This window comes from Homo sapiens, chromosome 6, assembly GCF_000001405.40.
Source record: "Homo sapiens chromosome 6, GRCh38.p14 Primary Assembly".
NCBI lineage: Eukaryota > Metazoa > Chordata > Mammalia > Primates > Hominidae > Homo > Homo sapiens.
The window spans coordinates 30,752,328-30,765,552 of NC_000006.12; the positions used below are offsets into that span (position 1 = coordinate 30,752,328).

The window sequence follows — 13,225 nt, forward strand, 5'->3', positions numbered from 1 at the left end:
GGACGTGCCTCCAGCCTACCCTCCAAAGCAGTTGCCATAGGCTCTTTTCTTCCAAGGTTGGGAGGGACAGTTCATTCCCCAAGAGGCCTCTCCAGGGGCGGAGGCGGGTGCTGGGGCTGGCCTGTCTGCAGCTCCCTGGCCCTACCCAGTGGGGATCGCGTGTCAGTACTGGGGTTTGGTGGGCTGCCAAGGGGTGAGCCCTGAGGCGGTTTTCTGGGAAGGATAGATGCCATGTGTGACTCAGAACCAAGTTAGGGAAAAAACAAGCTCACTCAATCTCTAGCACCCTCTGCCTGGCCTGGCTTTGCCCATGAGCTCATAAAAGAGGAAGCTGGGCCGGCCAGACAGTAGCTCTGCTTTCCCTCATGTTTTCTCTCCACGTCTCACGGATTCCCTAGAGTGTCTGGGCCTCAGGCCACCGTCATCCTAGCTCCTGGGCCCTGGCTCTTTTATGACACTTTCCCTTCCCAGACACTTGGTCATTTCTTTCCCCAGGTTGGGAATCCCACCTACCATAGAAGGGGAATTGCACACAAGGGGAGGTTGCAAATCTCTGTGTTCCTTGGCCCTGCTGAGGCCTCCACTGTCAGCCATGACCATTTGGGTTTGTGCGTGTGACTGCTGTGTCTCTGACACAGACCAAGTGGTGCTGACCCTGGGAGCCTGAATTAATAGATTTCTTGAGAGCTGAGATTCTCTGGTTCAGGAAAGAAAAAGGGGGTACCAAATGACTGGGCAGCCGAGCCACCCTCAGGGCTGCAATATTCCAGTTGGGACCAACTTACCTAGTACTTTTGGCATTCAGAACAGTTCACTACCAAAAAGGCACATTTTATTTTAGTGAAAATGGGACAATCATGGGCCATAAAGAACCTTCCTAACTATTGTTCCTCCGGTTCACCTCCTATACCCCCCAGGGCTTTCTTGTTCAAAGACAGACTTGACCATGTCCATGCCTGCTTCAGTAAGTTCAGTGGCTCCAAACTCTCTGAGTTCCCAACCCAAATCCAGGCACCTTGCAGGCTTTCTCTTTCAACACCCCCATTGCTTCTTGATGTTGTGCATCTCTAATTTTGTCCTTTTTCTCACACATGCCAAACTCTTACCCATTGGACCCTATAACCGTTCTATTTCTTTTCCTTTTTCCTCCCTATTCTCCTGGGAAAAAACCACTCCTGAACCTGCCATCCAGAATTAGTTCATCTACATTGTATACAAATCTCTCAAAGCATCACACACACGATATTATAGTCATTTGTCTATCTTTTTGATTGCCAGGAGAGGCACGTGCCATTGAGATGCAGCCGTCTTAATACTGGTAACCTCTTGACAAGGCCTAAAATTATTATTAAATTGTCACCATTAAAAAAAAAATCAGTGGCCAGGCACGGTGTCTCATTCCTGTAATCCCAGCACTTTGGGAGGCCGAGGTGGGCAAATCACCTGAGGTCAGGAGTTCGAGACCAGCCTGGCCAACATGGTGAAACCCCGTCTCTACTAAAAATACAAAAATTAGCCTGGCGTGGTGGCAGGCGCCTGTAATCCCAGCTACTTGGAAGGCTAAGGCAGGAGAATCGCTTGAACCCGGGAGGCAGAGGTTGCAGTGAGCCGAGATCACGCTATCGCACTCCAGCCTGGGGGACAAGAGCAAGACTTCTCAAAAAAAAAAAAAATCAGTAAGAAATGTATAAACCAGATATTCTCAACCTATCCCTGTGGGTTGAACTCATCCTATCTCTGACCCTGAGCCTTTCACATAAAATTTGGTAGTATTTGGTGATACTGCATTTTGTTTTAAAAAGTCAGGTAGATTGAAGTATAATTTAAATACAGTAAAATTCATCCTTCTTAGGAGTAGTTTTTGATGAGTTTTGATAAATGCATATAGTTTGTGTAAAGGCCTCCACCATGATGATATAGAGTTTTCCATCACCCCCAAAAGTTCCCTGCATCCCTTTGTAGTCAGTCCTGTCCCCATCCCCTATAGCAACCACTGATCAGACTTCTAACCTTACAGTTTTGCCTGTTCTAGAATGTCATATAGATGAAACTACAGGCTGGGCAAGGTGGCTCATGCCTGTAATCCCAGCACTTTGGGAGGCCGAGGCGGGAGGATCATCTGAGGTCAGGAGTTCAAGACCAGCCTGACCAACATGGTGAAACCCCGTCTCTACTAAAAATTAGCCAGGTGTGGTGGCAGGTGGCTATAATCCCAGCTACTTGGGAGGTTGAGGCAGGAGAATCACTTGACCCCAGGAGGCAGAGGTTGCAGTGAGCTGAGATCACGCCATTTCACTTCAGCCTGGGCAACAAGAGCAAAACTCCGTCTCAAAAAAAAAAAGAAAGAAAGAAAGAACGAAACTACAGTAGACACTCTTTTGTGTCCAGATTCTTTTGCTCAGTATAATATTTTTGTGATTCATCCATGTCATGGCATGATTCAGTAGTTCTTTCCTTTTGACTTCTGCATAGCATTCCATTGTATAAATATATGACAGTTGGCTTATTAATTCACCATTGATGGACATTGTGGTTTTTTTCTTATTTTTGGAAATGATGAATAAAGCTACTATGAACATTCATAGACAACTCTTTTTTAAGACATGTATTCTTATTTCTCTTGAGCAGATGTCTAGGAGTAGTATAACTAGGTGCATGTTTAGCTTAGTAAGAAATCGCTGCTGTGCCCAGTGGCTCACACCTGTGATCCCAGCACTTGCACCACGACGCCCAGCTAATTTTTGTATTTTTAGTAGAGACAGGTTTCACCATGTTGATCAGGCTGGTCTCAAACTCCTGACCTCAAGTGATCAGCCCACCTTGGTCTCCCAAAGTGCTGGGATTACAGGTGTGTGCCACCATGCCCAGCCTAAAGGCAGAAGGATTTCTTGAGCCCAGGAGTTTGAGATCAGCCTGGGCAGCATGGAGAGACCTCGTCTCTACAAAATTAAAAAATTAGCCAGGTGTTGTGGTGCGCGCCTGTGGTCCCAGCTACTCTGGGAGGCTCAGGTCGAAGGATCACTTGAATCCAGGGGTCGAGGCTGTGGTAAGTCACATTCACACCACTGCACTCCAGCCTGGGAGACAGAGCGAGACCCCATTCTAAAAAAAGAAAAAATAAGGGCTGGGCTCGGTGGCTCATGCCTGTAATCCCAGCACTTTGGGAAGCTGAGGCGGGCAGTTCATGAGGTCAGAAGATCGAGACCAGCCTGGCTAACATGGTGAAACCCCGTTTCTACTAAAAATTCAAAAATTAGCTGAGCGTGGTGGTGCGTGCCTGTAATCCCAGCTACTCAGGAGGCTGAGCCAGGAGAATCGCTTGAACCAGGGAGTCGGAGATTGCACAGTGAGCCAAGATTGCACCACTGCACTCCAGCCTGGCGAGACTCCGTCTCAAAAAAAAAAAAAAGAAAAAAAAGAATTTGCTATGCTATTTTCCAAAGTGGTTCATACTGACAGAACTGTTTTAAGGAAGCTGCATCAAAATGTTCCTCTTGTAAATTCTTGCTTAAAATATGCCAAAACTAAGTGTTTTTTTTGTTATAGAACAGGTTGCCACTCAGATTACCTCAAGGGACAGAGATGGGCTGGAATAGAGCCACCTCAGTGGCCAGTAACCTGCCCCTTGAAGAACCAGCATGTCTTCCAGAAGCCACAGTGGCTTCCAGTGCCCAGCGGCAGCCCCAGGAGCACACCCTGCCTCCCTGCCCAGACTCCTTGTGGCTCAGCATCTCTGTCTGCAGTGACTGGCTCTGCCCAGGTCTTGTGGGGTAGTGTGAAGTGACACTAGCCCACACACCTGAGCATGTATGATGCCTCAGAGGCACTGTGTGTTTTTTTTTGTTTGTTTGTTTGTTTGAGATGGAGTCTTGCTCTGTCTGTAGCCCAGGCTGGAGTGCAGTGGCGCGATCTTGGCTCACTGCAAGCTCCAACTCCCGGGTTCATGCCATTCTCTCCCTCAGTCTCCCGAGTAGCTGGGACTACAGGCGCTCACCACCACTCCTGGCTAATTTTTCGTATTTTTAGTAGAGATGGGGTTTCCCCGTGTTAGCCAAGATGGTCTCGATCTCCTGATCTCGTGATCTGCCCACCTCGGCCTCCCAAAGTGCTAGGATTACAGGCGTGAGCCACCACGCCCGGCATAGGCACTGTTTTAAGAGCTATACTCAAATCAATTCATTAAGCCTTCATAACCCCAACTGTTATTTTATCTATACACCCATTTTACAGATGAGAAAAATGAGGTTCAATGAGGCAATTCACTTTCTTAAGGTTGTGTAACCAAGAAGTAATGGGAGTTAGATGTGAACCTAGGTCTATTTCATTCCAAAGCCTAGTGGCATACCTATTTGTCAGAGCATAGATGCTAGAGCCCATCTACCTGGGTTCAACTCCATGTTTGTTTGTTTGTTTTTTGTTTTTGATTTTGAGATGGAGTCTCACTATGTTGCCCAGGCTGGAGTGCAATGGCATGGTCTTGGCTCACTGCAACCTTTGCCTCCCAGGTTCAAGCAATTCTCCTGCCTCAGCCTCCTGATTAGCTGGGATTACAGGCATGTGCCACCATACCTGGCTAATTTTTGTTTTTTTAGTACAGATGGGGTTTCACTATGTTGGCCAGACTGGTCTTGAACTCCTGACCTCGTGATCTGCCTGCCTCGGCCTCCCAAAGTGCTGGGATTACAGGCATGAGCCACCATGCCTGGCTTGTTTGTTTTTAGAGTCAAGATCTTCCACTACAGCTCAGGCTGTAGTGCAGTGGCGCCATCATAGCTCACTATAGCCCCAAACTCCTGGGCTCAAGCAATCCTGCCACTTCAGCTTCCTGAGTTTCTAGGACTACAGGCGTGTGCCACCATGCCCAACTAATTAAAAAAAATTTTTTTTTTTTTTTGGTAGAGATAGGGTCTCACTTTGTTGCCCAGGCTGGTCTCAAACTCTTGGCTTCAAATGATCTTCCTGCCTCAGCCTCCCAAAATGGTGGGATTACAGGTATGAAACACCATGCCTGGACAACTGTATGTTTTAATTCACTTAATTTTCATGGTACACCTCTGAGAGGAGGGCATGACAACACTCATTATACAGGTGCAGTGACAGCACAGAACTCTGTGAAGCAGGGGAATGACAGAGTTGAGTTTGGCATCCAGGAAGTTTGTCTCCAGAGACAAAGCTATTGACCTCAACACCTTCCTGCCTCTCAACAATCCTCATTATTAATGTTATTATTCAACCCACTGACCTAGCTCTTTTTGTCTTTGGGGTTTTACACTGCTCTGATGTTCATGTCCTTGCTTATGTCTTAAATTGAGACTCTGAATGGGTTGTGTACACACTCCCCAGGATACAGTAACCTTTTTGGGTATTCTCACCTCTGGCTGCATCACTGGCCTCTTGCCAGCCCTTGAGAACTGCCCCTAGCTCAAGCAAGGATCCTAATTTAGTAGATGAGGTCAGGGCCGGAAGATTATCTGCAGGGTGACCTATGCCCAAGGACTTACTCCCAAATACTTTTCTCAAGAGAAGGTGGTGTAACCAGAAGACACTTTAAGGTCTTGAGGCCATCCCCAAAGATCATTTGTTTCCTCAAACAGATTTTGGGCTTTTTCAGGTGAGAGACTAATCACTGAACCCACTGTCAGTATTCAGCAGTGTGCCTGATTGATATATACTAGGTACTCAATGGTTTTGACTGAATGATGAATAAATAAATGAATAAATAAAGAAGCCCAGATTCTCTTAATTTAGGTCTATGCTGTCTAATACAGTAGCATGTGGCTATTTATTTTATTTTATTTTTTGAGATGGAGTCTCACTCTGTCGCCCAGGCTGGAATGTAGTGGCATGATCTTGGCTCACTGCAACCTCTGCCTCCCAGGTTCAAGCAGTTCTCCTGCCTCAGCCTCCTAGGTTGCTGGGATTACAGGCTTGTGCCACTATGCCCAGCTAATTTTTGTATTTTTATTATTTATTTATTTATTTATTTTGAGTCAAAGTCTCACTCTGTCACCCAGGCTGGAGTGTAGTGGCGTGATCTCAGCTCACTGCAGGCTCTGCCTCCCGGGTTCACACCATTCTCCTGCCTCAGCCTCCTGAGTAGCTGGGACTACAGGCTCCCGCCACCACACTCAGCTAATTTTTTGTATTTTTAGTAGAGACGGGGTTTCTCCTTGTTAGCCAGGATGGTCTCGATCTCCTGACCTCGTGATCCGCCCGCCTTGGCCTCCCAAAGTGCTGGGATTACAGGCGTGAGCCACCGCGCCCAGCATTTTTGTATTTTTAATGGAGACGGGGTTTCACCATGTTGGCCGGGCTGGTCTCGAACTCCTGACATCAGGTCATCTGCCCACCTTGGCCTCCCAAAGTGCTAGGATTACAGGCGTGAGCCACTGCGCCCAGCTGCATGTGGCTATTTGAATGTAAATTCTAATGAGTCAAAATTTAAAATTCAGTTTCTCAGTTTCATTAGCCACATTTCAAGAGCACGATAATCCCATGTGGCCAGTGATTACCATATTTGAAAACACGGAAATAGAACATTTCCATCATTACAGAAAGATTTGTTGGACAGCACTAGGCTAGATGACAGATAGGGTGGGGGAAGAGAAAATGCTGCATTGGGAAAATGCTTGGTATAGGCTGATGGCTTTAATCTGCTTTTGACACTTTTAAAAGAGTCAAGATCACTTGTCTCTCATTAGATTGTATCGCACACTGCCCATTCAGAGGTCCAGAAACCACTTCTTCTTCAGAAATCTTGTACTGAGAAATGGAAGCCCATTTCTGATCACATACATGACCCATGCTTCTTCAGAAAGGAAGGCATGAAGTTGAAGGGGGAACTAAGACTGCTGAGTTCTTCTGTCTTCGGCCACAGGAAACTAACTGATTCATGGCACTTTGTACCCATGAGCTCATCTAGTCCTCCCAGGGCACAGGAAAGTGGTGAAAATAAGTGGCCATGGTTCACAGATTTTTCAGCTGGTAGAGGCTAGTTCCTACACTTAAAACATCAGTAGATTGTCAAATGTGTTCCAACTAAGAGCAGTGGAAGGCAGAAAGGTGTATAAAATATGGGTCTTAAGAGGTTTATAACCAAGTTAAGGGAAATTAAGAGATCAGCACATAAATATAAGTATACAAAACTGTAACTGTATCTGTAGCTATATGTGTGTGTGCATCTATTTATTATCTATCTACCTACTTATCTAATAACATAATTAACTAACATTTATTTGATATCTTAGAGCTTAACAAGTACTTTTCCTCATATGAAGACTCAGCAGATCCCCATGATGAATGTCAAACAAATGGAATGTTGGTACAGAGAGCAAGCATTCTAGGCATTCGCAGCCGGGTGAGATCACTGTGGATGGAGTGATGGGGGAAAGCTTTTGTTGAGGCAGAACCAGCAGGAATGTGGGGTAGTCACACAAACACAGATACAATTCCTGGTTTCCCTACTAGACACTTCCCAGGCTCTCAATTGCTTGTAGTTTTTGTTTGCTTTTTTTTTTTAAGACATGGTCTCACTCTGTGGCCCAGGCTGGAGTGCAGTGCCATGGTGTAATCATGGCTCGGTGCAGTGGTACTATCATGGCTCAGTGCAGTGGTGCGATCATGTCTCAGTGCAGTGGTGCGATTATGGCTCAGTGCAGTGGTGCGATCATGGCTCAGTGCAGTGGTGCGATCATGGCTCAGTGCAGTGGTGCAATTATGTCTCAGTGCAGTTGTGCGATCATGTTTCAGTGCAGTGGTGCGATCATGGCTCAGTGCAGTGGTGTGATCATGGCTCAGTGCAGTGGTGTGATCATGGCTCAGTGTAGTCGTGTGATCATGGCTCAGTGCAGTGGTGCAGTCATGGCTCAGTGCAGCCTCAACTGCCAGAGCTCAAGCAGTTCTCCCTCCTCAGCCTCCTGATTTGTTGGGACCATGGGTGTGTGCCACCACATCTGGCTAATTTTTTGACTATTTGTAGACACAGGGCCTCGCTATGTTGTTCAGGCCGGTCTCAAACTCCTGGGCTCAAGTAATCCTCCTCGGCTTCCCAAAGTGCTGGGATTACAGGCGGGAGCCACTGCGCTGGGCCCACTGCTAGTAGTTCATTTTACTTTCTAAAAGATAAAATGTTGATGAAGAGTTCTTAGTGATCCATGTTTTCTCTCCAGTCCTCCACCAAAATAACGCATTTTAAAAAAACAAACTCCCACATATTTTATAGTGATTCTACAAATGTAGAATAATTTGGATACTCTTAATACAAAATGGTTTGAGTTACCTTTATTTAATAATCCTGTGATGAGCATACAATGACATACGTCAAATAACTTACAACTCAGGCTTATATAACATCGGCTCTGCCCCAAATTCCTGCCGTGTAGAACACATAAAAATCCAACCCTGCAGTCTGACCAGTCTTGCCTAGGTTCTCCTTACATAATCATAACCACTTCCCTGCCAGGAGCAATTTTAAAATGTTCTTCTAAAGCCCTGTGCACTTCGCCTTGGCTTCCTTTAACTTTTCTTTTCTCTTTTTTTTTTTGAGAGGGAGTTTCGCTCTTGTTGCCCAGGCTGGAGTGCAATGGCTTGATTTCGGCTCACCGCAACCTCCGCCTCCCAGGTTCAAGCGATTCTCCTGCCTCAGCCTCCCAAGTAGCTGGGATTACAGTGTGTGCCACCATGCCCGGCTAATTCTGTATTTTTATTAGAGATGGGGTTTCTCCATGTTGGTTAGGCTGGTCTTGAACTCCCGACCTCGGGTGATCCGCCCACCTTGGCCTCCCAAAGTGCTGGGATTACAGGTGTGAGCAACCGCGCCTGGCCGGTTTCCTTTAACTTTTCTAAAGAGCTTCTACTTTTCTTCCTTGGCATTTGAATTTCTTTGGCTTCAAGCCACAAAAATGATTGTCCTTAACTTGAACAGAATAGATGAGTCTTGGGAGGATATTGAATAGCTCACAGAATCAAAGGAAGGCCAGAGAATCAGGCTCAGGAGACAAAGAACCAGGGTAGCTCCAGCGGATGAGGTAGCAGGAATCGACGGTGTTGTCCTGGCTACCTGCTGAAATGAGTAAGTGACAAAGGGTTTTTTCCATCCTTTCCATTTTGTTCATCATTCAAAGCCCTAGCAGAGAGAATCTGATCAGCCTAGTCTAGGTAAAGGCTAGGGGAAAAAGCACACCTTAACCATAGCTCATTAGGAATGCACACAGGTAATTCTCCAAGGAATCCAGTGACTGTTCTCAGGAGAAGAGAATGCATGCAGGATGGTCAAACCTCAGAAAATATCCACCACATTCGCATTTTCTCTTACCTCCATTTTCTACTTTTTCTAATTATCCACAACAGGGGTGACTAACATATCTTCCAAGGTTGTGAAAAATATATAGAAAAATAAATCTACCTGTATTGGAATTTTTCCCAGAAAGGATTAATGGTTGGGAAAGTTTGGCCCTACTTACCCCTCAGTGTTAAATATAAGGATTAAAGAAAATATATGCAAAATGCCTATTACCTTACTTGGCATGTAGCAAGGTTCATTAAATGTCAGTCCCATTTCACCCCTTCCCATTCACCCACTGTTGTGCTGAAGCCAGCTCACACCAGTTCATGAGAAGAATCATTATAGTTTCAGGAACTTTATGAGCCAACTGGCATAACATTGGTAGCTTGAAGTTGGCCTTTGTAGAGACAGAAAGATGTGATTGCTTTCTGCACCCATCCTGAGTCATGACCAATACTCCCATAACAAAAGACAGGCGAACAAAACAAAAGCATAACAAATTTATTTTATTTTATGTATCTATTTTTAGAAACGGAGTTTCACTCTTGCCCAGGCTGTAGTGAAGTGGCATGATCATGGCTCACCATAGCCTTAACCTCCTGGGCTCAAGCAATCCTCCTGACTCAGCCTACAGAGTAGCTGGAACTACAGGTGCAGACCACCACACACAGGTAATTTTTTGTAGAGATGGGGTTTCACCATGTTACTCAGGCTGGCCTCGAACTCCTGGGCTCAAACCATCTGCTTGTCTCATCTTCCCAAAGTGCTGGGATTACAGGTGTGAGCCCCTGTGCCCGACCAACAAATTTATTTCATCAAAGTTTTACATGACATGGGAGCCTTCAGAAATGAAGACCCCAGAAATGCTCAGAGAAAACAATTTTTTTGATTAGTTTCGATGAAGAATGGACAGCCAAGGCTGGGTGCAGTGGCTCACACCTGTAATCCCAGTACTTTGGGAGGCTGAGGTGGGAGGATCACATGAGGCCAGGAGTTTGAGACCAGCCTGGCCAATATAATGAAACCCCGTCTGTACTAAAAATACAAAAATTAGCCGGGCGTGGTGGTGTGTGCCTGTAATCCCAGCTACTCAGGAGGCTGAGGCAGGAGAATCACTTGAACCTGGGAGACAGAAGTTGCAGTGAGTTGAGATCGTGCCACTGCACTCCAGCCTAGGCCACAGAATGAAACTCTGTCTCAGAAAAAAAAAAAAAAAAGAACAGACAGTCATGTAGAAATGTGACTGAACACAGGCTGGGCACGGTGGCTTATGCCTGTAATCCTAGCACTTAGGGAGGCCAAGGCGGGCGGATCACCTGAGGTCGGGAGTTCAAGACCAGCCTGACCAACATGGAGAAACCCCATCTCTACTAAAAATACAAAATTAGCTGGGCATGGTGGTGCGTGCCTGTAATCCCAGCTACTTGGGAGGCTGAGGCAGGAGAATCGCTTGAACCCAGGAGGAGGAGGTTGCAGTGAGCCAAGATAGTGCCATTGCACTCCAGCCTGGGCAACAAGAGCGAAACTCCATCTCAAAAAAAAAAAAAAGAAAAGAAAAGAAATGTGATTGAACACAAAGTGAATGGTCGCATGGGAATAGGCTGAGGGAGAAAGCCAGCAGAGCCTGTCTGTTGGGATTCTGCTTGGTCTCTCTGTGCAGCATTCCTTCCTTCTGGATATAGGCAGGGACTCTCCAAAATAAGGGTTTTATGACCTACTATTAGAAAAGGTAGCTCAGTTTTTTTTTTTTTTTTTAATGAGCTGTGCTTATACAGAAAGGCAAAGGAAGGCTAGAGTAATAGTTCTAAGTTTTATGATTGGCTTTGGGGGAAAGACATTCTGGTTTCTTTGACCTGCCTTGGAGGAGAGAGGGGAGCAGGAGAAGGTCAGAGGCAGACTTTACTTCTCAGGTCCTTCCCATGTTCTTCTCAACTTGCCAAAACACCAAACTCTGGGGTATCATTTTCTGAGCCCCAACACCTTGATGGAAGTATTTACACCACAGAAATCGGAAATGTTGCAAGTCAGAACTTTCACCTACCCCCAGCCCTCCACTGCCTCTGAGAGTTAAACATTTACAGGCCACTGCCACATCTGCTCCTTTCTTTCCTTCACAAGTTGTGAGAAGAACCAAGTTAGCATTAGGTTGACCTGTGAGTGACAAAAACCGAATAGAACAATGGCTTCCTAGATGGAAGTCCATTTCTCTCTGACAGAAACAAAGTCCAGAGCCAGGCAGGCAGCTCGGGGCTGGGACAGCTCCGCCTTGCTGCCTCACTGTCTTTGATGCATGGCTCTTTGTGATTTAGGATGACTGCTCAGGCTCCATGTTCAGGCCAAGGGGAAAGAGAAGGACAAAGAAATACACACCCCATCCTAGTAGGTCCACAGACAGAAGTAACCCGTAACATTTCTGCTCATTTCAAATAGGTTGGAAGGAAGTCTCTCTGCCACATCTGGCTGCCAGGGAGGCTTAGAGCCCTGTTGCTTCCTGCAGGCAGCCATGTGCCCTGCTGGGGGCTGAGAAGGGGAGGACAGGGGCCGGGGGGCAGCTGAGAAGCCAGGTGGGATTCGAGAACATGTAGGGGAGAGGGAGAACTGGTGTTGGTGTGATGGGAATGAGCATAGTTTGTGGAACTCTGGGGGAGCTGACTGGAATAGAAAATTAAAAATACTGACAAATGAGGTTAAATAAACAAGGTGGAAGCCAGAGCTCAGTGAGGGACCAGGAAAGCAGACAAAAGAATCTTTATCTGCTGCCACTAGACACCGGAGGCACTGAACTTTCCAGCAGGGGAGCTACATGATCAGAGGCATTTCAGAAATGTTAATCTCACACTTAAGTGCTAGACAGATTGGAGGCAGGAGGAAAAACAGGAAGCAGCAGGGAGGTTGGAAAGGAGAATTATTTCATAAGCCAGGTGTGAGGTGATTATCGGGGAACCTGCCCCATTAGTCACGTAGGTTCTTTTCTATTTTCCTAAGCATCGGCCAGTTTGAGAAATAAAGGGACAGAGTACAAAAGAGAGAAATTTTAAAGCTGGGCATCCGGGGGAGACATCACATGTTGGTAGGTTCCGTGATGCCCCGCAAGCCGCAAAACCAGCAAGTTTTTATTAGGGATTTTCAAAAGGGGAGGGAGTGTGTGAATAGGTGTGGGTCACAGACATCAAGTACTTCACAAGGTAATAGAATATCGAAAGGCAAATGGAGGCAGGGCGGGATCACAGGACCACAGGACCGGGGCGAGATTAAAATTGCTAATGAAGTTTCTGGCACAATTGTCATTGATAACATTTTATCAGGAGACAGGGTTTTGAGAGAAACTGGTCTGACCAAAATTTATTAGGCAGGAATTTCCTCTTCCTAATAAGCCTGGGAGCGCTATGGGACACTGGGGTCTATTTCACCCCTACAGCCTCGACCATAGAAGATGGCCACGCCCAGGGGGGCCAGTTCAGAGACCCACCCCCAGGCGTGTATTCTCTTTCCCAGGGATGTTCCTTGCTGAGAAAAAGAATTCAGCAATATTTCTCCCATTTGCTTTTGAAAGAAGAGAAATATGGCTCTGTTCCGCCCAGCTCACCGGCGGTCAGAGTTTAAGGTTATCTCTCTTGTTCCCTAAACATTGCTGTTATCCTGCTCTTTTTTCAAGGTGCCCAGATTTCATATTGTTCAAACACATATGCTCTACAATTTGTGCAGTTAATGCAATTATCACAGGGTCCTGAGGCGACATACATCCTCCTTGGCTTACGAGATGACAGGATTAAGAGATTAAAGTAAAGACAGTCATAGGAAATCACAAGGGTATTGACTGGGGAAGTGATAAGTGTCCATGAAATCTTCACAATTTATGTTTAGAGATTGCAGTAAAGACAGGCATAAGAAATTATAAAAGTATTAATTTGGGGAACTAATAAATGTCCATGAAATCTTCAC

At 46.0% G+C, this 13,225-nt stretch overlaps 2 annotated features.

The window, feature by feature from the left end:
* Positions 5,225-5,519: a silencer, noted in NCBI's record as "tiled region #12821; HepG2 Repressive non-DNase unmatched - State 6:EnhF, and K562 Repressive DNase matched - State 8:EnhW". NCBI's record gives its function as "represses a minimal TATA promoter and a strong SV40 promoter by Sharpr-MPRA in HepG2 and K562 cells {active_cell/tissue: HepG2 | K562}" and the evidence as "EXISTENCE:reporter gene assay evidence [ECO:0000049][PMID:27701403]".
* Positions 11,441-12,228: an enhancer, noted in NCBI's record as "OCT4-NANOG-H3K27ac-H3K4me1 hESC enhancer chr6:30731545-30732332 (GRCh37/hg19 assembly coordinates)". NCBI's record gives its function as "activates a minimal SCP1, AML or CMV promoter by ChIP-STARR-seq in naive H9 embryonic stem cells {active_cell/tissue: H9 hESC(naive)}" and the evidence as "EXISTENCE:reporter gene assay evidence [ECO:0000049][PMID:30033119]".